A 27475-nucleotide genomic window follows, 5' to 3' on the forward strand; every position below is an offset into this window, starting at 1 on the left:
AGTGTGGTGGCGCCATCTTGGCTCACTGCAACCTCCACCTCCTGGGTTCAAGCAATTCTCCTGCCTCAGTTTCCCAAGTAGCTGGGATTACAGGCGCCTGCCACCACACCCAGCTAATTTTTTGTATTTTTAGTAGAGACAGGGTTTCACTGTGTTGGTCAGGCTGGTCTCGAACTCCTGACCTTGCAATTCACTTGCCTTGGCCTCCCCAAGTGCTGGGATTACAGGCATGAGCCACTCCGCCCGGCTAAGATTTGATGTTTTCTATTCCTCATATGTTTGGGAGATGTGTGTTAGCACTTCCCACTAGAATCATAGATTTATCCATTTCTCCTTGTAGTACTGTCAGCTTTTGCTTTACATATTTTGAGGCCATGTAATTAGGTGTATACAAATTTAGAAACTGTTAAATCTGTTGGGTGTAATTTGTATCTTTACAAAGTGTTTCCTTTGTAACTCTAGCAATGCCTTTTGCCTTGAAGTCTGTTTTTTCTGATATTAATATAGCTATGCTTTGGGGTTTTTTTTTTTGGTGGACCATATTTGCAAAGTGTATCTTTCCCCAAAATTTTACTTTCAACTTTTCTGTACTTGTAACTTAATTTTTATTTATTTATTTATTTAGAGACAGGGTCTCACTCTGTTGCCCGGGCTGGAGTGCAGTGGTGGCGATCACGGCTCACTGCAGCTGCACTTCCCAGGTTTGGGCAATCCTCCTACCTATCTCAGCCTCCCAGGTAGCTGGGACTACTGGCACTCACCACTACACCTGGCTAATTTTTGTAGTTTTTGTAGAGATGGGGTTTTGCCATGTTGCTTGCCCAGGCTGGTCTTGAACTCCTGGGCTCAAGTGATCCACCTGCCTCAGCCTCCCAGTGTTGGGTTACAGACATGAGCCACCGTGCCCAGACAAGACATTTTCATGGCTGTTTTACATAGCGAGTGTTCATTTATCCACCTGTTCACTCTTTTTGTTGCTCTTTCATTCTCTCCTGCAAGTATGATCTTCCATTTGGGATCATTTCACTTCTGCCTGAGAAAGTTGAGTCTTTGCTTAGTGTAGGTCTGCCAGTGGTGAGTTTTCTGTTTTTTTAATCTCACAATATCTTGATTTTGCCTGCATTCTTTTTTTTTTTTTTATTTTGAGATGGAGTCTCGCACTTTGGCCCAGGCTGGAGTGCAGTGGCGCGATCTTGGCTCACTGCAAGATCGGCCTCCCAGGTTCATGCCATTCTCCTGCTTCAGCCTCCCAAGTAGCTGGGACTACAGGCGCCCGCCACCTTGCCTGGCTAATTTTTTGTATTTTTAGTAGAGACGGCATTTCACTGTGTTAGCCAGGATGGTCTCGATCTCCTGACCTCATGATCCACCTGCCACGGCCTCCCAAAGTGCTGGGATTACAGGCGTGAGCCACCACACCCGGCCACCTGCATTCTTGAAAGGTATTTTCAGTGAGCGTAGAATTTTGGATCGTGGTCCTATTCTTTCGGCTTTGAAGAAGATACCATTCCCTTATCTTCCAGCCTCAATCATGTCTGTTGAGGAGTCTAATTGTGGCTCCTTTGAAGGTGATGGGCCCTTTTTCCCCGTATGATTGCTTAAAGATTCCTTTTTCTCAGGCCGGGCGCGGTGGCTCACGCCTGTAATCCCAGCACTTTGGGAGGCCGAGGCGGGCGGATCACGAGGTCAGGAGATCCAGACCATCCTGGCTAACACGGTGAAACCCCGTCTCTACTAAAAATACAAAAAATTAGCCGGGCGTGGTGGCGGGCGCCTGTAGTCCCAGCTACTCAGGAGGCTGAGGCAGGAGAATGGCGTGAATTCAGGAGGCGGAGTTTGCAGTGAGCCGAGATCGCGCCACTGCACTCCAGCCTGGGTGACAGAGCAAGACTCCATCTCAAAAAAAAAAAAAAAAAGACTTCTTTTTCTCTTTAGTTTTCAAAAGCTTCATCATGCTGTGCTTTGGTGTATTCTTCTTATTTATTATCCTGCCTGGGGGTTCATAAGGCTTCTGGAATCCAAGGCTTGATGCTTCCAGTCAAGGACTGATCAGGAGACATAGAGAGTAATTTGGACAGGAAAAGATTAATATAAAGAATAACCCGACGAGAAGAGAAACTGTGAGTGCTAAAGAATGCTCTAGGGCTGAAGGTGAGTACCCAAGAAGAAAAAACTTAGAAGGGCCCAATCCCCATGGCTGGGATTGAGAAGTCACTGGAGAAGGTGTGAGTGCAGCCTACTGGGAGGTAGCACTCACTGGGCCCCGGGGCCAGAGCTGGCTCACTGGGCTGGGCAAGTCCCTTTGAGGTGCAGGTGGGCTGAGGCTGGTGGGCGGGCATGCGTTGGGAGTTGGGGTGTTGGGAACCTGCTGGCCAGCAGGGTGGCACAAGGGTGAGGTGTGCATTACCCATGCCTGGACGGCCACAGCAAGGTGGCCACCATAACACCACTGGGGCCGAAGTGACAGGTGTGCGGTAGGGGCAGGTCTCCACACATGTCTCTAGCAGCCATTGAGCCAGAGCAAGGACAAAAGGCCAGGGCCTTCCGCCAGCAGTGTCTCTCCAGCGTCTCTATTGACAGAACTTAACATGCCCACTGCAAAGGAGACCTCTTCATTGCAGAGCAGGTAATGAAGGGTGGACTTGGACATGAGAAGCAGTGACATGATAATTGGCCAGTAGGTTTAGGAAAACCATTGAAGTATAATCTACATATCATAAAATTTACTCATTTAAGTATATGATTCAGTTATTTTAAATTTGCAGAATTGTGCAACCAGCACCGTGATCCAATATTTAAGTTTCCATCATCCCCAAAGATCGTTCATGTACTCCTTTTGAGACAGAGTCTCGCTCTGTCACCCAGGATGGAGTGCAGTGGCACGATCTTGGCTCACTGCAACCTCCGCCTCCCAGGTTTAAGCGATTCTTATGCGTTGGCCTCCCGAGTTGCTGGAATTACAGCCCCGTGTGTGCCACACCGGTCTAATTTTTGTATATATATATTTTTTTCCTGAGAGGGAGTCTCGCTCTGTCGCCCAAGCTGGACTGCAGTGGTGTGATCTCGGCATACTGCAACCTCCACCTCCTGGGATCAAGCAATTCTCCTTCCTCAGCCTCCTGAGTAGCTGGGACTACAGGTGCCCGCCACCACACCCAGCTGATTTTTGTATTTTAGTAGAGACAGGGTTTTCCTTTGTTTGCCAGGCTGATCTCATACTCCTGACCTCAAGTGATCTGCTCACCTCAGCCTCTCAATGTGCTGGGATTACAGGCGTGAGCCACTGTGTAATTTTTGTATTTTTAATAGAGACGGGGTTTCACCATATTGGCCAGGCTAGTCTCAAACTCCTGACTTCAGGTGATCCGCCTGCCTTGGGCTCCCAAAGCGCTGAGGTTACAGGCGTAAGCCACCGTGCCTGGCCCCTCATGCACTTTTTGTAGTCCGTCTGTTTCCACTTCCAGACAACCATGAATCTGCTCTCTGTATCTATAAATTTGCTTTTTCTAGACATTTCATATAAATGGAATCATGTGATAACACACCCTTTGCATCTGGCTTCTTTCATGTCCATGTTTCTTTTTCTTTTTTTTTTTTTTTGAGATGGAGTCTTGCTCTGTCGCCAGCTGGAGTGCAGTGGTGCAATCTTGGCTAACGACAACCTCCACCTCCCAGGTTCGAGTGATTCTCCTGCCTCAGCCTCCCAAGTAGCTGGGACTACAGGCACCCGCCACCATGCCCGGCTAATTTTTTGTATTTTTAGTAGAGATGGGGTTTCACCATGTTGGCCAGGATGGTCTTGATCTCTTGACCTTGTGATCCACTCGCCTCAGCCTCCCAAAGTGCTGGGATTACAGGCATGAGCCACCCCACCTGGCCTCCATGTTTCTTTTTTTTTTGAGTCAGAGTCTCACTCTGTGCAGTGGCACGATCTTGGCTCACTGCAACCTCCACCTTCTAGGTTCAAGCAAGCACATCCGGCTAATTTTTGTATTTTTAGTAGAGACAGGGTTTCACCATGTTGGCCAGGTTGGTCTCGAACTCCTGACCTCAAGTGATCTGAATGCCTCGGCCTCTCAAAGTGCTCGGATTATAGGCGTGAGCCACTGCGCCTGGCCATGTCCATGTTTTCAAGGCTCATCCATGTTGCAGCATGTGTCAGCTCATTCCTCTGGATTGCTAAAGTGTTCCACTGTATGGAAATACCTCATTTTGTTAATCCTTTCACCAGCTGTTGTACCCTTGGGTCCTCTCCCCTTTTTGGCCAGTGTGAATAATCCTGCTGTGAACACTGATGTACACGGGAGTCATTCCTTGCTTCTGCTCTGACCTTTTCCTTTCTGCTGGTCCACTTACCCTCAGGACTTCTATCCCTGGGTCTCCTCCTACCTGGTTTGCTCCATCCTGTGTCTCTTCATGCTGCATTCTACCCACATCGTCTTTTTTTTTTTTTGAGATGGAGTCTCACTCTGTCTCCCAGGCTGGAGTTCAGTGGCGTGATCTCAGCTCACTGCAACTTCCACCTCTTGGACTCTAAGCGGATTCTCCTACCTCAGCCTCCCAAGTAGCTGGAATTACAGGCCCCCGCCATCACATCCAGCTAATTTTTATATTTTTAGTAGATATGGGGTTTCACCATGTTGGCCAGGCTGGTCTCGAACTCCTGACCTCAAGTGATCCACCTGCCTCCACCTCCCAAAATGTTGGGATTGCAGGCGTGAGCCACCGTGCCCAGCCCACCCACAGCTTCTAACCTATCTCCAGGTCACTAATTTTGCTCTTAAACAGTCACTGAGTTCTTCATATGAGGTATTTTTTGGTTTAGAATTTCCATTTGTCCTGTTTATATTTTCTAATTATTTGCCAAATTTCTCAGGCTTGTGTCACTCCTAGAACATAGTTAAGCACTGCACATTCACAGCCACATTTAAGAACTCCAAATTTCAGCCTTCGGGGGACTGATTCTGTCAAATGCTTCTGTTTTTTTTTTCTTTTTTTTTTTTTTTTCAGCAGGAAATGCTTGTGCCCTAGTTATGTTTTGCCGTATGTGAAAAATTAAGAAATAACTAGAGACCTAGGATGATGTTAACCTCTCCAGTTTTTTTTTTTTTTTTTTTTTTTTGAGACGGAGTCTCACTCTGTCGCCCAGGCTGGAGTGCAGTGGCTCGATCTCGGCTCACTACAAGCTCCACCTCCCTGTCCTGCCATTCTCCTGCCTCAGCCTCCCGAGTAGCTGGGACTACAGGCGCCTGCCACCACACCCGGCTCATTTTTTGTATTTTTAGTAGAGACAGGGTTTCACCGTGTTAGCCAGGATGGTTTCAATCTCCTGACCTTGTGATCCACCCGCCTTGGCCTCCCAAAGTGCTGGGATTACAGGCGTGAGGCACCGTGCCTGGCCAAACCTCTCCAGTTTCTTTGCCTTTGTTTCTGGCAAGTGCCTGGGTTGCTAGGTGTCCAGAATCATCTTAATCCAGTTTCAGGGACTGAGACCATCTGGAGCTGGCTCTGTCCCTGTGAGGGTTGGTATACTTGTCATGGGTCACCCTTCCACCTGCAGGGCAGCTCCCTGAGGTTTCAATTCAAAGCCTGGTGAGTTCTAGACTCTCCCCTTTTTTCCTTAACTACTCTTTTGTCTGAAGTTCTGCTCAGTTCCTCGGCCACGTCATCTGGAATTGTCAGACGCCCTTTACATTACATGGCCCCAGGTGTCAGGCTTCCCTCCTGTCTCTTCCTGAATCTTGGCCCAGTAATTCCTCCTTCTCTCCTAGTTCTCTGATGACTTTAGGCAGGGTTTTATTATATATATTACATTATTATTTTTATTTTTTGAGACGAAGTTTCGCCCTTGTCGCCCAGGTTGGAGTGCAATGGCGCGATCTCAGCTCACTCCAACCTCTGCCTCCCGTGTTTAAGCGATTCTCCTGCCTCAGCCTCCCAAGTAGCTGGGATTACAGGAATGCGCCACCACACCTGGCTAATTTTGTACCTTCTTTTTTAGTAGAGACGGGGTTTCACCATGTTGGTCAGGCTAGTCTTGAATTCCTGATCTTAAGTGATCCACCCAGTTAGGGCTCCCAAAGTGCTGGGATTACAGGTGAGAGCCACCTGACCTGACTGCAGGTAGGGTTTTAAAATCTGATCAAGCTTTCCTAGCAGGATGGCTGGGTGGAATCGCCAGAGTGGTAATTCTTTAACACATGTTAGAATTAACTTCATCAAGGACCACATAAAGTCCTTCTTTGATTTCCTTTGGAATAGTTTTGAATTTATACATTATCTGGGGGAGAAGTGACATCTTTACAAAAATTGGCTGGGTGTGGTGGCTCATGCCTGTAATCCCAGCACTTTGGGAGGCCAAGGCAGGTGGATTGCTTGAGCCCAGGAGTGCGAGACCAGCTTGGGCAACATGGCAAAACCCCGTCTCTACTAAAAATAATAATAAAAAAAATTAGCTGGAGGTGGTGGCATGCACCTGTAGTCCCAGCTACTGAGGAGGCTGAGGTGGGAGGATCACCTGAGTCCAGGAATATGAGGTTGCAGTGAGCCAAGATCACACTACTGTACTGCAGCCTGGGTGATGGGAGTTGAGACCCTGTCTCAAAAAACTCCCAGAAAGTTAATTTTCCTATCCACAAACATTCACACCTCTCAATTTATTAAGGTTTTTTTTTTATGGTTTTTAATAAAATCTTATCATTTTTCCTATAAAGGTTTCACACATCTTTTGCTGGTCTAGGACCTTAAGACTTGTGATGCTAGTATAAATGGGGTCCTTTAAGAATTACATTTTTTGAAGCTGGGCGTGGTGGCACGTGCCTGTAATCTGAGTTCCTTGGGAGGCTGAGGTGGGAGGATTGCTGGAGACCAGAAGTTTGAGACTGCAGTGAGCTGTGGCCACATCACTGCACTCCAACCTGGGCAACAGAGCAAGACACCATTAAACAAAAACAAAAACAAAAACAAAACAGAAAACAACCCCAAATCCTCAAAAAACAAACAAAAAAAAGGATTACATTTTCTGATTGCTGACTGACTGTATATAGGAATATGCTGAACTTTTTATTTGGTTGTATAGCTAGCCACCTTGATAGATTTTCTTGTTCATCTCTCAGTCATTTACTTTTCTTACATCATTGGCAAGGATCTCCAGTACAATGAACAGACAAGGAGTTAGTGGGATCATTCTCTTGTTTCTGATTTTAAAGGAAGCACTTTGAATATTTCACAATTAAGTATGTCTCTATACGATCTTGGAAGTTAACCTTCATCAGATTAAAGAGGCTTTCTATTTCTAGTTAACAAAAAGGTTTTTGGCCGGCTGTGGTGGCTCACGTCTGTAGTCCCTACACTTTGGGAAGCCGAGATGAGTGGATCACTTGAGCTCAGGAGTTCAAGACTAGCCTGGCCAACATGGTAAAACCTGGTCTCTACAAAAAATAAAAAATTAGCTGGGTCTGGCGGTGCGTGCCTATATGCCCAGCTACTTGGGAGGGTGAGGTGAATCGCTTGAGCCTGGGAGGTCGAGGTTGCAGTGAGCAGATGCCACACACTCCAGCCTGGGGGACAAAAGCGAAACCCTGAATTTTTGTTATTCATAATAAAAATAATGGCCAGGTGCGGTGGCTCACGCCTGTAATCCCAGCACTTTGGGAGGCTGAGGTGGGTGGATCACGAGGTCAGGAGATCGAGACCATCCTGGCTAACATGGTGAAACCCTGTCTCTACTGAAAATACAAAAAATTAGCCGGGTGTGGTCGCGGGAGCCTGTAGTCCCAGCTACTCGGGAGGCTGAGGCAGGAGAATGGCGTGAACCCGGGAGGTGGAGCTTCCAGTGAGCCGAGATCGCGCCACTGCACTCCAGCCTGGGCGACAGAGCGAGACTCCGTCTCAAAAAAAAAAAAAAAAAAAAAAAAAAAAAAAAAAAAAAAAAAGAATGGATGTTGCATTTTTAACAAAGGCTGTTCTGTGACTATTGCGGTGATTCTATGGCTTTCTCCCTTTAATTTGTTAACGTGGTACATTCGGGAGAAGCGAGGCCATGCCGTGAAAAAAAACCCTGGTCTCCATGGCTTCATTTTTCATTCACATCAAGCAAGCCCCGTGTGGGTGAGTGGGGTGTTCCCTGACCAGGCTCCCCCAAGTTGGGGCTCTGCCATCTCAACACCCAGACTCCAGGAGTACCGCGGGTGGGAAAGATTAAGTAGGGAGCTGCACAATAGTCCTTAAACGCCCAGCCCACAGTGACATGTGTCTGCCTCTCAGATCTCAGGCAGGGGGCTGGGAAGTGTAGTCCCCTGTGTGCCCAGGAAGGAGATGCAAACCAGACGTGTGGAGCAGCAGCGTCTAGCATGGGGTCAGTGACATCCATTAACTGATTGAAATTATTCCATCCTTGTATTTTTGAGATAAGCCCAACCTGGTCAGGAAGGACTGATTTTTATGTGATGCTGGTTTGGGGCTGCTAAGATGATTTTATAAGTTTTGTATCAGTATTCATACATCAGACGGACTTGTAATTATCTTGTACTGTCCTTGTTTTGATTCGATGTCAAGGTTATATTCCATTCATAAAACAAGTTTAGTTTTTCCCTTTTTTTTTTTGAGACAGAGTCTCACTCTGTTACCCAGGCTGGAGCCCAGTGGTGCGATCTCAGCTCATTGCAACCTCTGCCTCCCATGTTCCAGCGATTCTCCTGCCTCAGCCTCCTGAGTAGCTGGGATTACAGGCGCCCACCACCCACCACCATACCCGGGTTTTTTTTTTTTTTTAGGAGTCTCGCTCTCGCCCAGGCTGGAGTGGTGGTGTGATCTCGGCTCACTGCAAGCTCCACCTCCCGGGTTCACGCCATTCTCCTGCCTCAGCCTCCTGAGTAGCTGGGACTACAGGCGCCTGCCACCATGCCTAGCTAATTTTTGTATTTTTAGTAGAGACGGGGTTTCATCATGTTGGCCAGGCTGGCCTCGAACTCCTGACCTCATGTGATCCGCCTGCCTCGGCCTCCCAAAGTGCTGGGATTACAGGCATGAGCCACTGCACCCAGCCTGTGTGATTTTTCGATTAAGAGAAGTGAATGAGGTAAAGCAGTCTGCAAAGTGCTTGGTACCCCAAAATATTATTATATCCAAGTATTAACTCATTGAAACTTTGTGAGACCTTAGAAAGCAGAGTCTGTTATTACCCCACTTCCAGCTGGGGAAACTGCCAAGCAGAGAAGAAAACCACTTACCCAGGGTCCTTTTGCTTATCAGCTGCAGAGTCAGGACACAGCCCTTTGCAGCCAAGGACATATTCCCCCAGACTGCTGGCAGCCAATGAGGGACTCAGATGGCCCGAACCACACCTTGACTGCTTCCTAAATAATGCACCCCTAGTGAATGAATGAAAAAAAAGGTTTGAATGAATGCTGGGGCCTGCCTCCCATCCCACAGGGGGAACAATGAGCAGTCAGCCATCATACCCCATTCTCCAGCCTTGCACCACTGGGGGCGGGACCCAGATTGTCGACCTACTGCAAGGTCAGAGCAGGTGGGAGGCTTGGGGCCCTCAGCTCAGACACCTTCGGGGGGACCGCAGTTCTTGGTTGGAGCAGGCATCTGAGCCTCCTGGGTTACTGGCTAAGCATGCACACTCGCAGGTCCTGGGCGGGGACACTGTGGGGGTGGGGTGGAAGCCAAGGTGTTTCCTCCGTGACTATGGCGGCTCCCTTGGTGAATCTCGCGGTCTGCCGGTCACCAAAGACCAGGGTGGGTCGCAGCAGCTGCTGCCCCGCAGCCCTGGTGGGAAGGCTGAGGCCTGAGGTCCATACCTGGCACATCACCTCCTGCTCACTGGGGTTGTTGGGGCCAGACCAGCTTCCTGGCATTGCTGGCAGGGGAGGGAGATGCGAGTGGAGGACTCAGGAGTGGACTGGTCTCTCTCGGGCTTCTGTGTGCTCATTGGTCGAAATGGACAAAAGCAGATAATGAGGAGCCTGAGGCATGAGTGGCTGAGCAATCTGCCCGAGGACACAAGGAACAAAAGAGAGAACCTGGGCTTCCATCACCTACGAGGTTCATGGAGGCTTTGGCGTTGGCGCCTGACACACAGGCAGCCAACAGCTCTGGATGGTTGATGCCTGCCTGATGCAGGGTCCCTTCTATCAGATCTTGTGATCAGCCCAGGAATACTTGGCCCCTTCCCTTTAAAGGGACAGACTTAAGCTGCTGCCTTTGCGGGGCATGAGGGGAGATGCCTCCTCCTCACCAGGCCTGACCTCTGCACGATCAGGTACAGAGAGATGCAGAGATCCTGGGCTTCCCCAGGGGCCGCCGTGGGGCTGAAAGTTGGGGACTGGGAACCAGGGTGAATATGAGGGCTGGCCCTGATCCCCGCCATCCCTGGGTGGCTATGCTGGGGTGCTTGGTCTCAGGTGCTAGGATGGAAACAATGGGGCACAGGTGGGCTGTGGTGTGGGAGGACAAGGAAGACAGGGAGACAAATGGCCTCCCAGAGCCATTGGGCCCCGTGCCTTACTCCGCATGGAGGGGACACAGCACACCTCGGGGCAGAGAAGGGACTGGAATCCCTGGGGCCTCCTCACTCTGTCCCTTGTAAGTGCAGAGGCTCTGCTGTTCTTCACTGGGGCTGGGCCCGAGCCTCTGTGTGCTGCCTCCTGGGCGGCAGAGGACACACCGCAAAAGGCACGCCATAAAGACAGTGCTTCCGGGCCCCGAAGGAGCAATTCTAGAGCCTGTGCCCCCGAATCCCACCCGAGGAATGCCCTTTTCATCAGGACACTGGGGTGAGGGGCTCTTGTGCATGAACCGACCTCTGGAGCACGAGCAATTCTTTGTCCAGTTGAATGCTTCTAGGGCACAAGGCCTAGGAGGGAAAGTTCTGGTGACGTCCATTTCACTCAGCCACGACTACCCCAATGGCAGCAAGTGGGCCTGGGAGTGGAGCTGAATGACCCCAGCCTCCCAGGAGCCCCGCCTGCGACAGGGGTCTCAGAAAAGAGATGGCAAGGCCAGCATGGAGCAGGCTGGGCTGTCACTGTAGTTGCACACATGCAGCTGGGCGCGGACATGGCATTGGGCAGCTTTCATCTGTGTTTATTTTTTTTCATATAAAAGTTACATGTTTGAAATGTCTGCAGGAAGATGCCACCATCAGACAGGTTAGCTGGGGCATATATATTACAATGTAACCCTGTGGAGGTCGTGGGGCCGGAGCGGGAAGATGCTCCCCAGAATCGGGTTCAGGTCAGACATGGTGTGTGCCTGCCCCTCCTTGCCCCCCCACACCCCGACACCTGCAGGTGAGGACTGACCTCTGCAAGGAACGAGTCCTCCGCCTGGCTCACGTCTGTCTGTGAAGACTGATTCCCACAACCCGCCCGGGCCCCCCAAAGGAACAGACGAGCCACGGCCAGGCCGCAGCACTGAGCACAGAGCTCAGCAATAACCAGGGCCAGGCTTAGGGGGCACAGGGGGCTGCCTGCCATCAATAAGTTAGACATACATCGCACCTTGCCGTCCTCACGCAGGGAGCCCCTGGGCACTGCTCATGTGCTGCCTGGGCCCTGCTGCTCAGAACACCAAGGGCTCCCAGTGAGGGCCTGGGGAATTGCCTGGGCACACTGGGGCCAGGCACAGGGTCTGTTCTGAATTCAGGGAAGGTGAAGAGACCCCACCTCTATCCAGCTCAAGCCCAAGAACAAGGCAGACAGAGCTGTGGACAGCACCCGACCACAGACACGGTTCTGCCTGCTGCTGGAGTGAGAGGCCTGGTTTCTGAGGCTGCAGCATGGCACTGGCATTGCCTGTGCTACAGATGGGGACTCCTGCGAGTCTCACAAATACAGGGAGAATTTCAGTTCACACAACCCAAGGGCCCTGTGTGCAGAGCGGCCCTCACACGCGCACAGCAGCATTCAACAGAGCTGGGCAAGGGAAGGGGAGAGAGAGTCAAGGATTGAAATGAAGGGACTTCAAAAAGAAGGAACAAACTAAAAACCCAACCCACACACAATACTGTTAATAAGCCAGCGACTCTACACACACACTCCTTAAATAATAAAGTGACAGGTCCCGGCTGGCCCCGCAAGACCACCGCAAGAGGGGGTCCCGCCACCAGAGGGGGTCCCGCCTGCCACTGCACGGCTTTCCTCCCTCTATCTACAGGACAAACAAAACACGGGAGAGGGGAAAAAGCCCACATTTTCTTCTTGATAAATGCTGTTCAAAAACCCATGAAGGACTCAAAGTGACATGGTGGTTTAAAAAAAAACCTAAATGATCAACAGATGTTGCTTTCTATATTTTTCCTTTGTTCTGTTTGAACTGGGCTAAGTAAGCACAGTTAGACCCTGCTGTTCACTTGACCACGTCCTAAACCCGGGACAAGTGAGCACTCATTCATGCACAGCAGACCCGGAGGCATGGGCTGGGGCAGCACAACTGGGTTCCCGCAGCGCCCTGCCTGCAGGCTCATGCTGGAGGCCACGGAACCAGGCGGCACAGGGCAGATTCTGTTTGTCAAGCGCCCCACAAGCCTTGCCCAGATTGTCAAGCTCAGCAGCGAGAATGGTTTTGACGAGGAGGATGGAAACAGCATCTGCTCTGGAAGCCGCTCTGGCGTGGGGAGAGTGGGGAGAGGGTGCGCTTGCTGCAGCTGCTGCCTTAGGAGGCTCCTCTGTGGCCAGGCTTCTGCCTCCCTGCACCCTGAGGGACCATTCGGGTGCCTCAGGGATGCCCTTCCCTCCCAGGGGCACTGACAGCACTGGCTGAAAGGTCTGAAGAGCCAGAGGAGGAGCCCTGCTGGCTGGCCCAGGATGGGGCAAGGAGGGAGGGAAAGCCAGGGGATGGGGAGGGACATGAGATGGAGTTTAAGGCACACAGCGAGCGATGGAGGAGGGAGGTGCTGGCCTCTCCCCTCTGAATTAACTCCCCCAGGAGCTCAGCTCTGGCCTCAGTTTGGTGAGGTTCAGAAGACTCCCAGCAATAAAAAGTATTTCTTGGATGATCAAGTCCTCCCTTACTCCAGCCTCCTCTTCTCAGCTCCCCAGGTGGTGTGGGAGGGGCCCAGTGGCCTGGGGTGGGGGGTAAGGGGCGACGGGATGACAGAGACTGCTGCTGCTCTCAGGCGGGCAAGGGAGGCCCTGATGGCGCCAGTACCGCGGGGCAGAGCACCAGCTGCGGGGCTGCTAAGGCGTCACCTGCGTACCTTTCCGGGCCTGCTGAAAAGCTCACACCATCCTCCATGCATCAGAAGGGGAAGCGGAAAGTGAAAGGATCCTCCCCCGAGTCTACTCTGCATTCTGCCCACCCAGCTGCTTGCCCCCATTCCAGGGCCCCTGCAGGACAGGCCACCCCAGGAGGCCTCCACTCATTTGAGATTTCAGAAGATTCAGGGACCCTGGAGCTTAGGGAGGGGGAGCACCCACCACTTCCTTGGTCTGCTGATGAGGTCTCTGCTGCTCTCTCCCTGGAGGGGAGTGGGTGGAAGGTCAAGAGGGGAGAGATGGAAGTAAAAGCAGAAAACAAAACCAAACCAGAAAACCACCGGTTTGTAAATTGGCAACAAGACCTGCCTGCTGGCTGCCCTGAGGCCCACGGGTCTGCTCCCACAGAGGAAGGAGGCAGGAAGCGGCTGGCAGGCTCCAGCTCCCGCCCGGCCCCGCTGAGGGCTGGCCAGCCTCATGGCTCCGAGGCCGGGACTCCTGCCATGCGCCTAACAGGTCCAAGGTCCTCTCCGGTCTGGGAGCTGCCCTCTGCGCCCCTCGAGCATTCTCCTGGATCCCGGCGTCTGCTCCTAGGTCTTCTCTTCCCGGTCTGTTTTTCTCCTTGTTATGTTCCTGGGTTTAATTTTCAGAGACAGTTCCCATAGGGCCTCCTCAGCCAGGTGGTCACTGAAGTCATTGAAGAAGTTTATAATGTCGTCGTTCCTCCGCATGTCATAGTGCCTGGTGCAGGGGATGGGGAGCAGTCAGTGAGCACCTGTGTGGGCTGGATGGCCCGATGGCGCCACCCTCCTGGAAGGTGCCGCGGGGACCATCCCCACAGCCTCGCAGCAAACGGATGCTGCAGGGGCTACCGTTGACCAATGTGACAGAGGGGACACCAGTGCTCAGAGACGGTGCCACCAGCACATGGAGCACAAACAGGGCCCTGAGGCTGGGCTGCTCACAGGGAGGGGGCCCCAGGTGATCCCACTGCCCCCAACAACGCATGCCAGGGCCCGCCCTGGGGGAGCTCTGGTGCCTCAGAGTCAGGCAGGCCAGGGTTTGTCAGGCCCTTCTCACAGCAAGGTGGGCACCAGCTTCTGGTGTGTAAAATGGGAGGACGAGCTGTGCTGTCACGGGGTCCAGGCCCAGGGCCAGGCTAGGCCTGGCATGGAGCCTGGTGGGCATGCTCTCAAGTCATCCTGGCAGAAACTGAAGGGCCCGGACTATATCTCAGCAGTGGCAGGTCCCTGGGTCCTCTGTGGCTCCCCCTCCCCTCGGTGTCCCGGGCTGTCTCTCCTTGTGTGTGGCCCGGGGCTCAGCTCTGCCTGGTCCCCCCGGGGCAGTGGCACTCACGCCTGCTGGAAGCAGCGCATGCTGTCGAGGATGTTGAACTGCTGCCACCGCTTGGAGAAGTTCACTTTCCCGTCGATGTAGTCTGGGTTTCCCAGGTGAACGAAGGTCAGGTCCTGCAGGATCAGCCCCCTGGGAGGACGGGTTAGGCAGCCTGTTACTGCTACGGGGTTTGGAAGCAGCAAGGGCTAGAGACATGTGTCAGGCGCTAGGACTCGCAGTGAGCAGCTTCCAAACCCCAGAGCAAACCAAAGAGCCAGTCTGAGGTGTCTGTTTCCCAGAACAAACTCCCGCCTCAGCCTCTGGCCTCTGGCTCCACAAGCACCTGCTGGGGACCTCGGAAGCCAGTATGCTGATGAGGAGCCTGAGGGTGATGCGGCTGCCATGGCTCAACCCATAAGGGCGAAGCTGTGGGCTGCTAAAGTAACATTAACAAATGAGCAGTAAAAAAAAAAAATAACAAAACCCAAACCAGGGGGCAGGGGCAGAGATCTCCTTTTATTAACAGGTGTGGTGGGCTGGGTGCAATGGCTCACACCTGTAATCCCAGTACTATAGGAGGCTAAGGCAGGAGGATTGAGCTCAAGAGTTTGAGAACAGCTAGGCTGGGTGTGGTGGCTCACACCTGTAATCCCAGCATTTTGGGAGGCCAAGGTGGGAGGATCACCTGAGGTCAGGAGTTTGAGATCAACCTGGCCAACATGGTGAAACCCTGTCTCTACTAAAAATACAAAAAGTAGCCGGGCATGGTGGTGCACACCTGTCATCCCAACTCGGGAGGCTGAGGCAGGAGAATCACTTGAACCTGGGAGGCGGAGGTTGCAGTGAGCCAAGATTGCGCCACTGCCTGGGTAACAAGAACGTAACAAGAACTCCAGCCTGGGTAACAAGAACGTAACTCTGTCTCAAAAAAAGAAAAAAAAAAAGAGTTTGAAACCAGCCTGGGCAACATAGCAAGACCTCGTCCCTACAAAAAATACAAAAATTAGCTGGGCATGGTGGCGTGTACCTGTAATCCCAGCTACTAAGGAGACCGATGTGGGAGGATTCCTTGAGCCCAGGAGTTCAAGGCTGCAGTGAGCTATGATTGCACCACTGCACTCCAGCCTGGGTGACAGAGACTCCGTCTTTATTAAACAAAGAAACTGGCTGGGTGTGGTGACTCCTGCCTGTAATCCCAGCACTTTGGGAGGCCAAGGCAGGTGGATCACCTGAGGTCAAGAGTTTGAGACTAGCCTGGCCAACATGGTGAAACTCCGTCTCTACTAAAAAAAATACAAAAAAAAAAAATTAGCCAGGCGTGGTTGCGCATGCCTGTAGTCCCATCGACTACTCAGGAGGCTGAGGTGGGAGAACTGCTTGAACTCAGGAGGCAGAGATTGCAGTGAGCCAAGATCATGCCACTGCATACCAGCCTGGGTGACAGAGTGAGACTCCATCACAAACAAAGAAACAAAGAAACAAACAAGGTGTAGTAACTTAATAGGTGCTTCTGACTGCAGAGGACTTAAGGCCAGATGAGAAAGACAGGGGCAGTTCCTCCACTCAGGGAGAACTCAGCTTGAGGGAGCAGATGTAGAGCCACAGTGGGAAAGACTGTTAGTGCTCAGAGCAGGAAGCCTGGGGATTTGTATCTCTGAGGGTTGAGGCCTCGAGGGCAGCCCTGCAGTAACCCTATAGGATGTGCCATTGAACACTCAGCACTGGGATGCTGCTGCGCTTTTGGTCTCTTGGAGATTCTCAGTGTCTACTAGTATATACTAAAGGCTCTCGTAAGTCCTGCAACAGACACTTGTTTGGTTTTGGTTATTCCGCTACGTCCCTTTTCTATGAAACACATATTTCCTCTCGCCCATGGTCCACGCTCAGGAAGCACTTTCTGAACTTCTTTACACCAAGGCTCTCAAGGTCCCTGGGTGGCCGTGCATCCTCAGGTTGTTCTAATGCGCAGCCACGTGTGAGGACACTGGAATACTGTGTGATGCCATGTGTGGGGAGAGGAGCCATACATCTGTCACAAGCATGGCTGCACATGCTCACGGGCAGGCTACAGAAGGAAATGAGAGTGGGGCTGGGGGCTGGGAAAGGAGAACCCGTATTCTTCACCTGAGCGCTTCTTTTCTGTTTAAACTGTATTATAAGAAGCATTATATATTATATTATATATATGTATTGTATATTATGCATTATAACTGTATTACAAGAACCTTAAGTAAAACCAAGTACAAATGTCTCCGTTAGAAACCCCTAAATTAAGATTTCTCTGCTGGAGCCTGACAGATCTTCCCCAGAGCAATGGAGGCAAACCCAGGCGGGGCTGGGGGCCTGGAGGGGCTGCTACTCACAGGTACGGGATGCACGGCGGTTCCACCTCCGAGAGGGCGGCCCGGTAGGCTCGGAAGGAGGACGAGCTGTCGATCAGTGTGCAGTACTCGGCCAGGCCCTGGCAGGACAGGACAGGACAGGACCGGACAGGGGTGAGCGAGTGCTGGGGCAATGCTGGGGCAGAGCCCTGGTCCTCCTCACTAACTGGAGGGTCAACCACCCTCTGCCCAACTCCACAGGTCCCACTACGCACAAACACCCAGCCAGGTGTGGGTCCTGGCCCTGGCCAGCAGGGATTCTGTCCTTTTCAACGAGTGTCAGCCCAACCCCTGGTCACAGGGGACTTCAGGCCGTTTTGTGGAGAAACACCCCACAGTACTCATTGTGCCTGGGCAGCCAGCGCTTGTGTGTATACGACATCCCGGAAGATGGGCTCCTGCCTGGCCCTGTTCGGCGGTGCAGCCAGAGGAGCTTCCCAGGCACACACTGAGTGGCGTCACTCCTGACTCGGAGCTGCCTTTGCTCTGCCCTGTACTCAGGGAGGACCAACTAAAGATAGCATGTGACCTCGCCCTCCCCAGGGCTGGGTGGCTTCTCTCCTGCAGGGGTGGGGGGCTCCCACCTAGGAGACTCAGCCAGCCCTGCCCCACTCAGAAGGCCCCTCTCCTGCCTCTTCTCCTGTTACGTGCCTCTCCCTGAAGTGCTGCCTCCTGAGGACCCCCCATGCAGAGGCCGTGTGAATTTCCCACCTCTCCCCATACACTAGCTTACAACCATCCCTGAACATGGGCTTGAACAAGAAGACCCTGGGTGGCCTGGCTGACACCCGGGTCTCTGACATGACCCCTGGGTGGCCTGGGTCACACTCGGGTTCCTGACACGACCCCCAGGTGGCCTGGCTGACGCTCGGGTTCCTGACATGACCTCTGGGTGGTCTGGTCACACTCAGGTCCCTGACACAATCCCTGGGTGGCCTGGCTGAACTTGGGTCCCTGACATGACCCCTGGGTGGCCTGGCTGACACTCAAAAGCCATGGGTTTTGCCCCCATTTGCAATATTATTTCCCTACACAGGATAAAGGTCCAACTCCTCACCAGGCTCCTGAGGCTCTCATGACCTAGAACTGGTCCCCTTCTCCCGGGATGTGGTCCCCTGGCCTCCTCCTGTCCCTGGAGGTGCTGACCCCCACCTGCTCCTGGCTGTGCACTCCTTTGTCCCCTTTGATTCTCTTCCCTTCCCAGGAAACTCCTCCTCCTCTGCAGATGGTGGCATGAGTGACACTTCCTCTGGGCTGGCCCACCTGCCCACCCTTCTTCTTTTAGTGCTTATCTAGCAGAAACTCACCCAACATCATGTTGGGCTGTTCACAGTGCGTCCCCAGCACCTACCGCAGTGCCCGGCCCGAAGCAGACCCTTCAGAAGAACGGGCTGAGGGCGGGCGGGGGAGGCGGGAACCCAGGGATGGGCCTGCTGGGTGGCAGCAGAACACCGGGATGTGACCACCCCAGAACCAACCTCGAAGCTCCCGGGGGCCTGAAGATTGGGGATCAGAGACAGGAAGGCGGGAGGGCAGCTGTTCTGGTCACACAGCATGTCGGTGGCAGAGCAGGGGCCTAGGCCCAGCATTTGCTCCAGTGGGAGCACTTTCTGCCACAGCTAGTCGCCTGAGGGCTGGGCGGCCCCCCTTACCAGCCACCCTCCCGCCCACGCCCCAAGGCCACTCACCTCTGAAGTCTGCTTCTGCCACTCCAGCCTGCGGATGGGCGCCGAGTCCAGGGCAGAGAGGATGGCCAAGTAGGAGTTGAAGTTATTCAGCTTCCGCAAGTGCTGCCGAGAGAGGGGCGGTGCCGTGAGGCAGGAGGGCAGGCGGGTCCCGGGCTCCCAGAGCAGGGACTGATGATGGGGGCCTGGGAAGGACTTGGCCACCATTACCTTCATGATCTTGATGAACTTCAAGAGCAGCCGTTCCCTGTCCTGGGCCTTTTCCTGTAACATGATTATGGACCGGACCCTGCATGGACCAAGGGAAAAAGAAACAGCTGAGTTGACAAGTCCCTGCAGGTCCCAGGGGTCCTGGTGGAGACAGGACCTGTACGACCCCCATGCCAGTGGCCACGAGCCCACCCCTACTGAATACCTGCAGCCTGCCCCAGGCATAGATCTAGTTTCTGCTCTCCAGGAGCTCATAACATCCTGGGACAGAGGCACAAGGAAATCTGGTGACAATAAATCTGGTGACCATAAGGAAATCTGGTGAAGGCCCAAAGGGGGCTTCGAATCTGCAGGTGGAGCATGGGAGGATGAAAGCAGAGCCTTTCCTGACAAGCATGGGCCCCAAGTACCAGGGGGCTGGGCAAGTTCCTTGTGTGATGCAGGACTGGCTCGGGGAGACCCGCTAGCACGTGAGGTAAGAGGTCACCTTGGGCAGCCACGAGGGAAGGAAACTCTCAGAACCTTAGTAGCAACCAAAGCCGAGACCAAAGCCAAAGGCCAGTCTCATCTGTGTGATAAATGCAGCAGGGATGTCACCCTGGCCTCAATTTCCTGTGGTTCACAGGGGCCACTACCAGGGTCACTTGGAGGTGGTGCCGCACTTTGCACTGCTGGTTCTTCTTTTTTATTTAAGAGACAGGGTCTTGATCTGTCACCCAGTGCTGTGAGTATATCTCACTGTAGTCTTGAACTCCTGTTCTCAACTGATCCTTCTGCCCCAGCTTCCCGAGTAGCTGGGACTATAGGTGTGCACCACTGCTCTTGGCTAATTTTAATTTTTTGTAGGGGGGGGGCGTCTCTCTATGTTGTCCAGGCTGGTCTCGAACTCCTGCGCTCAAGTGACCCTCCTGCCTCGGCCTCCCAAAGTCCTGGGATTATAGATGTGAGCCACTGCACTCGCACCTCTGTGCAGCCAGGCCCTGTGGAGTGTGCCCCTGAGCTTCTTGCACCCAGCCAGAGGCTGGTGTCAGAAGCCAGGCTTGGGGCCTTGTGTGCAGCTTCCGTCTGCTTTAGAAACCACATCCTGTTGGGCAAAACCCTACGCTGGACTGCCATAGCTAAACATGCTTTTCCCCAGGATGGAGTGCTTCTGTGGGGAGGAAGATAGGCAAACGGGAGATGATCTCGGGGCCTTTAAAACACATCAGACATTCTCCTGGAGGCAACAGTGGGTGGGTGGGGGTGGCACAGCTGCTGAGCTCTAGGGGGTCCTGCCTGATGCTGAGCTGCTATGGGGGCTTTGTCGCCTCTTGAAGAGACAAGAGCTCTGGTTTATAAACACATTACTGGGATTCATTTTGCTTTAAGAATTAAAGACTAGGCTGGGAGCGGTGGCTCATGCCTGTAATCCCAGCACTTTGGGAGGCTGAGGTGGGTGGATCACGAGGCCAGGAGGTTGAGACCACCCTGGCTAACACGGTGAAACCCTGTCTCTACTAAAAATACAAAAAATTAGCTGGGTGTGGTGGCGAGCACCTGTAGTCCCAGCTACTCTGGAGGCTGAGGCAGGAGAATGGCGTGAACCCGGGAGGTGGAGCTTGAGGGGAGCCAGAGCTTGCAGTGAGCCGAGATTGCGCCACTGCACTCCAGCCTGGGCGGCAGAGCCAGACTCCGTCTCAAACACACACACACGCACGCACACACACACACACACACCTGCAGAGCAAGACTCTGTCTCAAACACACACACACACACACACACACACACCTGCAGAGCCAGACTCCGTCTCAAACACACACACACACACACACCTGCAGAGCAAGACTCCGTCTCAAACACACACACACACACACACCCACCTGCAGAGCGAGACTCCGTCTCAAACACACACACACACACACCTGCAGAGCGAGACTCCGTCTCAAACACACACACACACACACACCTGCAGAGCGAGACTCCGTCTCAAACACACACACACACACCTGCAGAGCGAGACTCCGTCAAACACACACACACACACACACCTGCAGAGCGAGACTCCGTCTCAAACACACACACACACACCTGCAGAGCGAGACTCCGTCTCAAACACACACACACACACACACCTGCAGAGACTCCGTCTCAAACACACACACACACACACACCCCTGCAGAGTGAGACTCCGTCTCAAACACACACACACACCTGCAGAGCGAGACTCCGTCTCACACACACACCTGCAGAGCGAGACTCCGTCTCACACACACACCTGCAGAGCGAGACTCCGTCAAACACACACACACACACACACACCTGCAGAGCGAGACTCCGTCTCAAACACACACACACACACACACACACCTGCAGAGCGAGACTCCGTCTCAAACACACACACACACCTGCAGAGCGAGACTCCGTCTCAAACACACACACACACACCTGCAGAGCGAGACTCCGTCTCAAACACACACACACACACACACCTGCAGAGTGAGACTCCGTCTCAAACACACACACACACACACACACACACACCCCTGCAGAGCGAGACTCCGTCTCAAACACACACACACACACACCTGCAGAGCGAGACTCCGTCTTACACACACACCTGCAGAGCGAGACTCCGTCTCAAACACACACACACACACACACCTGCAGAGCGAGACTCCGTCTCAAACACACACACACACCTGCAGAGCGAGACTCCGTCTCAAACACACACACACACACACACACCTGCAGAGCGAGACTCCATCTCAAACACACACACACACCTGCAGAGCGAGACTCCGTCTCAAACACACACACACACACACACACGAATTAAAGACTAAATGCAAACATTAACGTTATAGAGCCCACTCCTTTGCTAACTGTTCTGTCAGGCAGAGTCAGTGTGAGCATCAGCTTGAGATTGCCTGGCAGTGACCAGGGCAGGAGGGCAAACTCACGCCCTTCCCAACACCACCTATGGCAGACATCGCTCCTCGACCCTGGCACTCTTCCCTGCTGAGCCTCCTCGACCAGGTGGCCACTTCCAGCAAGCCCCATCCTGTCCCTGCCCCTGTCCTCAGCCTGTCAGTGCTCATGGGAACCCCCAGGAGCTTAGCGGAATGAAAGAGGCAGCTCCTTCTCCTACCATTCAAGCTCCCTGCAAAGGAAAACGCAGAGCCCACCCAGACGTGCCACCATCCAGAGCAACAGGGCTTGGCGCTGGGCCTCTCTTACCAGTAGGACATGTTGTTGAAGTGCTCCGTGAACTGGGTCAAGTTGGGGCTCTTCTCCTCATTCTGCTCTTTTGCCCAAAGCAAAACCTCAGGAATCTACAAAAGGAAAGAAGGCAGATGGAGGTGGAGCCCCGGCTTTCCCCTGATGGGGGTTTCTCTCATTCAGGGACAAACAGTGTGGCTCCCCCTGGCAGGAGCAGCCTGTACCTCTATTTTATAGAAGAGCTCAGCATCCAGCAGCGTTAGCTGCTCCGCTATCTCATGGCTGTGAAAGTCGTGCAAGGTCCCCGGCCTGGAAGACAGAGGTGTGAGAAGAGCCGTCAGGGGTGGGGAGGCCGGTGGGGAGGGCTGAGCAGGCCCGGGCTGCGGGCGTCAGAGCAGGAGAGCCTCTCTGCCCAGCAGGAGCGTGGAGGCTACAGGGCGGGGAAGCCCCAAAAGGCTCCCTGGGGCCCTAATGGCCTCCTGCCTCTCTCCGGGACGACACTGTCTGCCTTTCTCTCCTGCTTCTGCTGGGTATGTCCAGCAGCTTCTGGAATCAGAAGCCTGAGTTTCCCTCGTGAGCTCATGGACAGTTGAGATGCCAAGAAGGCTCGCTCACGGCTGGAGCCCACTTCCAGGTGGCCAGCAAGAACAGAGATGGTGCCAAAGAAACGAAGGCTATGCGCTCACTGGAAGGAGCCCACTACTCAACAGACATGTATAGGTGCAAATGACACTCACCGTCGGTGTCGAGGGGACGGGCCACAGACTGGCATCAACCACTGCCATGTTCGTGCTGGGACAACCCAGAACTGACCACAGCCCAGGGTGTGTGCACTCCTGCCCTGTCCTATGAAGCCCCATGCCCTGCTGCCCGCTTCCTGGTCACAAAGGGATCACCACCCAATATGTGCCTCCTGGAGAAGAGGCCCAGCCCCCAGGGATCCACGGGGCTGTTCCTGAGGCACCTCATCAAAGGGCCTGTGCAGAACCAGGATGGGGCTGTGGGGCTGGCAGGGAGGGAGGGTAAACTGAGAAAGGCACGGCTCCTGGGGAAGAGGCAGGGCTGGAGAGGTGGGCTTCTCACCTGGCTGCTACCCCCCGGGCTGCCAGGGGCTGGCTGGAGGTGGCACACCTGAGTAGCTTCTTCTGGTCCACCTTGTCCAGGATGTTCTTCCGGAGCACACGGGCCAGGCTCAGCTCCCCATTGCACACCAGGCGGAAGACCAGTTCCATCAGCAGCTTCAGGATCTCTTCTGTCAACTCCACCAGGCTGAAGGACAAAAGAGCACAAGGTGAGGAGCAGGAACGCAAGGCCCAGGCAGAGTCTGTCTTTGCCTTGAGACACACAAAGGGCACGGGGCTGTGACCGGCACAGAGCTGGCTGGGAAATTTCTCATGGGAAGAGAGCAGGAGACGAGAGCCTGGGATGGCTGCCTGTGTCCTTGGAGGTGTTGGGATGGTCACAAGCACCTGCCACACACTCAACAGCCATCTGTTGGCGCTGGACAAGCGCCAGTGACTGTGCTGGGGCCTGGGCTGCAGGGACAAGTCCTACACGAATCCCGCCCTGGGGAGCTGCTGCTCCCATTGGGCAATGAGACACCAAGACTTCCCGGCCTCTCAGACTAGATGCTCCCCAACTTGCCCTGCTGAGCACTGTCCACACGTGGCCATTTCCCAGCCGCACAGCCACTTACCATGGTCATCTCCCCCAGCAGGAGGAAGGCAGTCCGCCTGATGGAGATTTGTTAGCGGAACGGATATGGCCAAGTGCCATGCTGTCAGATGGCCAGCCATGGAAACACTGAGGAGCGAGGGAGAGGTGGCCTCTCCCATTCCAGCCTCCACACAGCCTCCACCATGGCTGGCGGCTGAGAGCACGGCCTGCTGGAGACTGGACCTAAGATACCATGGGAGCAGGTGCGTTGGGCGGGTTCTCTCCTGAGGGTCCAGGAGGGACCTCATGAGGAAATCCAGGGCCTGGGTGCAGGGTGGAGAGACACCTCACCCATCTCACCCTGGTCTATCGGGCACAGGCCATTCTCTCAAAGGACCAAGATAGAGCAGGCAAGAGCCAGCTCTGCCCAGAGCCGATGGGCAGGAGAAGCAGGTGGAATGGAGCCTTTGCCTCCCCACTGGCCCCCAGGACCCCAAGGGTGAAGCACTCACCAGAGCTCATCCACCACCCGTACCAGCACGAAGAACGTGTTCTTGCTGACGCGCTTCTTGAATGTGTCGGCAAAGGGAGAGAATTTCTCATATGTGGAGCACGGGTTAAAGAAATAGCCATGTGGTCGGCTGAGGGTGGTGGAGTGGAGGACTGACTCCTGGTGACCACTCACTGAGCGCTCACAATGTGCCCATCTTCCTGCATGTAAAGCACTGGCATCCAGAAACGAGGGCACGGGACTAGCGCAGTGGAACAACTGCAAAGCCAGGATTTGAGCACAGGCGTCTGTCCCCAGGGATGCCCCCGGCTGCTGCCCTCTCCTCCCTGCCACGCCATCTCCGCTGCACTGTCCAGACCCGCCTTTCCATCGGGTTCACCCCGAGGTGCCCATGAGATTACAGACACGTAGAGAGTGCCTTGCTGAACTTTAGGTAGAGAACGGTGGGCCCAAACCAAACACCCTCCAAACCCCAGGTCCCTAGGCAGGTGTGTAGGCCAGAAGTATCTCCCTCCAGTCTTTCTGTGAGTTTCCATCCTGAGGCTGCCTCCCTGGGCTCTGCAAGGGAACTCTCACCTCCGTGACACCGGGCCGGGTCTCTCTTCCCAGAGCTGCAGCACGCTCCACATTGGCTCCCTGTCTCCAGGGCAGCACTTCAAGCACCCGATCAGCTCTAGCTCATGCCCTGAGGTCGGGCTCTGCTTTGTGGTCAGGGTTTCCTGCCCGGCTGTTGTGCTCGCCATCGACTCCCCAGATCTCTCTGACACCCTCCTGCCTGCTCTCTAGTGATCCACGACCTTCCAAGTCATGGGGCTCAGGACAGAGCAACGTACCAGGGACTGTGTCTTGGCCCACAGCACAGGGGTCGCCAGCCAACCAGGCCCAGACCTTGATGCTGCAATATTTCCATGATGGCTGAGCCAGGCAGAGGCTGAGAGCCTGGGCGCAGGCAGCAGGGGGCAAGCAGCGTGTGGCTGCTCTCCCACCAAGCAGCCACATGGGTCAGGTCCTTCATGTCTCTGGGCCTCGGTTTCCTCAATTACACAATAGGGAGTTATAGAGCAGTGGCCCCATGTATAATATGGTAATTTTATACACACCCACACACACATATTAAAAAATGGTCATAGAGCTAGGGCTAGGTGAAAGCACAGGTGTAAAGCACATCTCGCCTGACCAGCAAGTCCTTGACACGTGTGAGTGACAGCCATTCACTGAGTCAGGCCTGTGAGCAGGTGCTCTGAGTAACAGAACTTGCCGGGGACCCGAGGCTCCGCCAATGGAGGATGTCCACGTCTGTCTTGATAGATCAGGGATTCTAAAGGTCAACACGAGGGGAGAATAGGAGGCCAGGAGGTCTGCAGGAGGCCCTGAGTGGAGCAGTGAAGGCTCAGGGCACACAGGAAGGAGCGGGGGCGCGGGTGGACTCAGGACTTCCTACCCCAGGTGGTGGTGGCTGCCCAGCAGATGGCAGCCGTGGGCTATGTGCAAAGAGGTGGCTGAGGAGCAGCTGACCCAGGCTACCCTCCTAGAGCAGCAGCTGCAGGTCAGCCTCTTAGGATGGGCAGGTTTGGACTTGAAGAGGCAATGGGTCACACAAGTGGGTCCTTCCAAACCCCTGGGGTCCTCCTCAGCCACTACTGCAGAGGGTGACATTTACTGAGGGTGGGCCCATGGGGTAGATCTGGGGACAGGAGCCCATTCCAGTTGTGGATGTGGCAGTCGCAGGGTCCGCTCCAGGGAAGGTGACTGTGCTGACCCCTGAGCTGTCTATTTGGGTCTTGGTATCCTTCGTGCCCAACGCCCTGGGGCTCAGCTCTGAGAAGCTGCCGGAGCCGACCATGAGGGTCTCTCAGAGGCGTCTGCAGGACCGGCACACTTACCCCTCCCAGTCTGGGGCATGTCTAATTCGTTTTTAGAATCATCCAATGACCACAACTGCCACCAGACACACATTCCCAGACTATGTTCCAGCCTCTTCACATCATTTCACTCGGCCCTTTTAGAGATGAGGAACTTGCCTGAGCTCAAAGCTGGAATGCGGGAGGGTAGAGGTGGGAACCTCGGTCCATGGGGCTCCTGTGTCCCTACTTCAATCACACTGCCACCCAATATGCTGCTCGGCTTCCCCCACGAGGACTGAAGGGCAAGAGGGTCCCTCTCTCTCCAAAATGCCCATGGTGCAGGGGCCCTGGGTCAGGAAGGAAAGGATATCTGTACTGCAGCTTCTTGATGAGCTCCTCTGGGGAGATGAAGGTCCTGTAGGTGGTCAGGAATGCCTCGCAGTACAACACCAAATCTAGAGGGAAAAAACAATGCAAACTGCTTGTCTGGGTGCAGAGTGCTGGGGGGTGGTAGCCAGGGTGGATTTGAGTCCTTGCTCTGAGAGAGGCAGGGGAGATGGCACGGGGAGTGGGATGGGCGAGGGAGCCGAGGGCTTGGGAACCCCCTCTGGTGTCTCCGCCTGCATGTCCCAGAGAAGTCACACGTCCTCTCTGTCCATCTCTCAAAGGAAACGGCAGATCAGAGAGGGGAAACAGGAAAGGGTTTTATCTCATGGGCACTTTCTACCGATGATGGTGCTGCCTGGAGAACCGTGCTGTGGGAGCTGAGGCCAACTCTGGTCCCAGCGGAAAAGGGCACTTAGGCTGACGAGTGACGCCTGCCCTAGGCATCAAAACCCGGTGGCATGCCTGTTCCAGGTAGGAGCCAGCCCTGGATTAGACTCTGAGAGGCTCTGCCTGTCCTAAGGCTTTATGCTTCAGAGGGTCTCAGCCATCATGGGAACAAAGAAAATCGTCTGTTCAAACCCGTCAGCAGGATCCTGAAATGAAACCCTAGGCTTTACTTTTATTTTTAAATTTTTATTATGATTATTATTTTCGAGACAGGGTCTCACTCTATCACTCAGGCTGGAGTGCAGTGGTGCGATCTTGGTTCACTGCCACCTCTGCCTCCTGGGTTCAAGTGATTCTCCTGCCTCAAGCCTCCCGAGTAGCTGGGACCACAGGCACGCGCCACTACGCCTGGCTGATTTTAATACAGACAAGGTTTCACCATGTTGGCCAGGCTAGTCTCAAACTCTTGGCCTCAAGTGATTCACTCAGCTTGGCCTCCCAAAGTGCTGGGATTACAGGCGTGAGCCACCGTGCCTGGTCAGTACTTTTAGATGGTAGGGTCCAATCAGAAAAATCCGGGGAAATTCCACGTTTTGGGTCCTAAGGGATAGGCTGAAGAGGCACGGCTTGGGCCGGGTACCAAGGAGAGGCATGGTGCCAGCCACTGGGCAGGT

At 53.9% G+C, this 27475-nt stretch overlaps 1 protein-coding gene across 25 annotated transcripts in view, besides 5 other annotated features; it reads right to left on the reverse strand.

Moving 5' to 3' along the window:
- Positions 2387 to 2886: an enhancer, noted in NCBI's record as "H3K4me1 hESC enhancer chr9:134443475-134443974 (GRCh37/hg19 assembly coordinates)". NCBI's record gives its function as "activates a minimal SCP1, AML or CMV promoter by ChIP-STARR-seq in primed H9 embryonic stem cells {active_cell/tissue: H9 hESC(primed)}" and the evidence as "EXISTENCE:reporter gene assay evidence [ECO:0000049][PMID:30033119]".
- RAPGEF1 (Rap guanine nucleotide exchange factor 1) overlaps positions 11074 to 27475 on the reverse strand; it is a 163302-nt gene continuing 146900 nt past the window's right edge. For all 25 annotated transcript variants that reach the window (NM_001377937.1, NM_001377938.1, NM_001304275.2 and 22 more), the window contains 10 exons: positions 26398 to 26482; positions 24185 to 24277; positions 23100 to 23285; positions 22241 to 22325; positions 22035 to 22129; positions 18817 to 18895; positions 18610 to 18711; positions 16904 to 17001; positions 14562 to 14690; positions 11074 to 13946 (listed from right to left, as the gene is read on the reverse strand). In NM_001377937.1, coding sequence (NP_001364866.1) covers positions 13796 to 13946; positions 14562 to 14690; positions 16904 to 17001; positions 18610 to 18711; positions 18817 to 18895; positions 22035 to 22129; positions 22241 to 22325; positions 23100 to 23285; positions 24185 to 24277; positions 26398 to 26482 — 1103 coding nt within the window. In that variant the 3' untranslated portion in view covers positions 11074 to 13795. The remainder of the gene's footprint in view (positions 13947 to 14561; positions 14691 to 16903; positions 17002 to 18609; positions 18712 to 18816; positions 18896 to 22034; positions 22130 to 22240; positions 22326 to 23099; positions 23286 to 24184; positions 24278 to 26397; positions 26483 to 27475) is intronic.
- Positions 13238 to 13287: an enhancer, noted in NCBI's record as "active region_29193". NCBI's record gives its function as "activates an Ori minimal core promoter by ATAC-STARR-seq in GM12878 lymphoblastoid cells {active_cell/tissue: GM12878}" and the evidence as "EXISTENCE:reporter gene assay evidence [ECO:0000049][PMID:35858748]".
- Positions 13318 to 13447: an enhancer, noted in NCBI's record as "active region_29194". NCBI's record gives its function as "activates an Ori minimal core promoter by ATAC-STARR-seq in GM12878 lymphoblastoid cells {active_cell/tissue: GM12878}" and the evidence as "EXISTENCE:reporter gene assay evidence [ECO:0000049][PMID:35858748]".
- Positions 13648 to 13727: an enhancer, noted in NCBI's record as "active region_29195". NCBI's record gives its function as "activates an Ori minimal core promoter by ATAC-STARR-seq in GM12878 lymphoblastoid cells {active_cell/tissue: GM12878}" and the evidence as "EXISTENCE:reporter gene assay evidence [ECO:0000049][PMID:35858748]".
- Positions 23649 to 24148: an enhancer, noted in NCBI's record as "H3K4me1 hESC enhancer chr9:134464737-134465236 (GRCh37/hg19 assembly coordinates)". NCBI's record gives its function as "activates a minimal SCP1, AML or CMV promoter by ChIP-STARR-seq in naive H9 embryonic stem cells {active_cell/tissue: H9 hESC(naive)}" and the evidence as "EXISTENCE:reporter gene assay evidence [ECO:0000049][PMID:30033119]".

Source organism: Homo sapiens, chromosome 9 (genome assembly GCF_000001405.40).
Source record: "Homo sapiens chromosome 9, GRCh38.p14 Primary Assembly".
In the NCBI taxonomy this organism is placed as follows: Eukaryota; Metazoa; Chordata; class Mammalia; order Primates; family Hominidae; genus Homo; species Homo sapiens.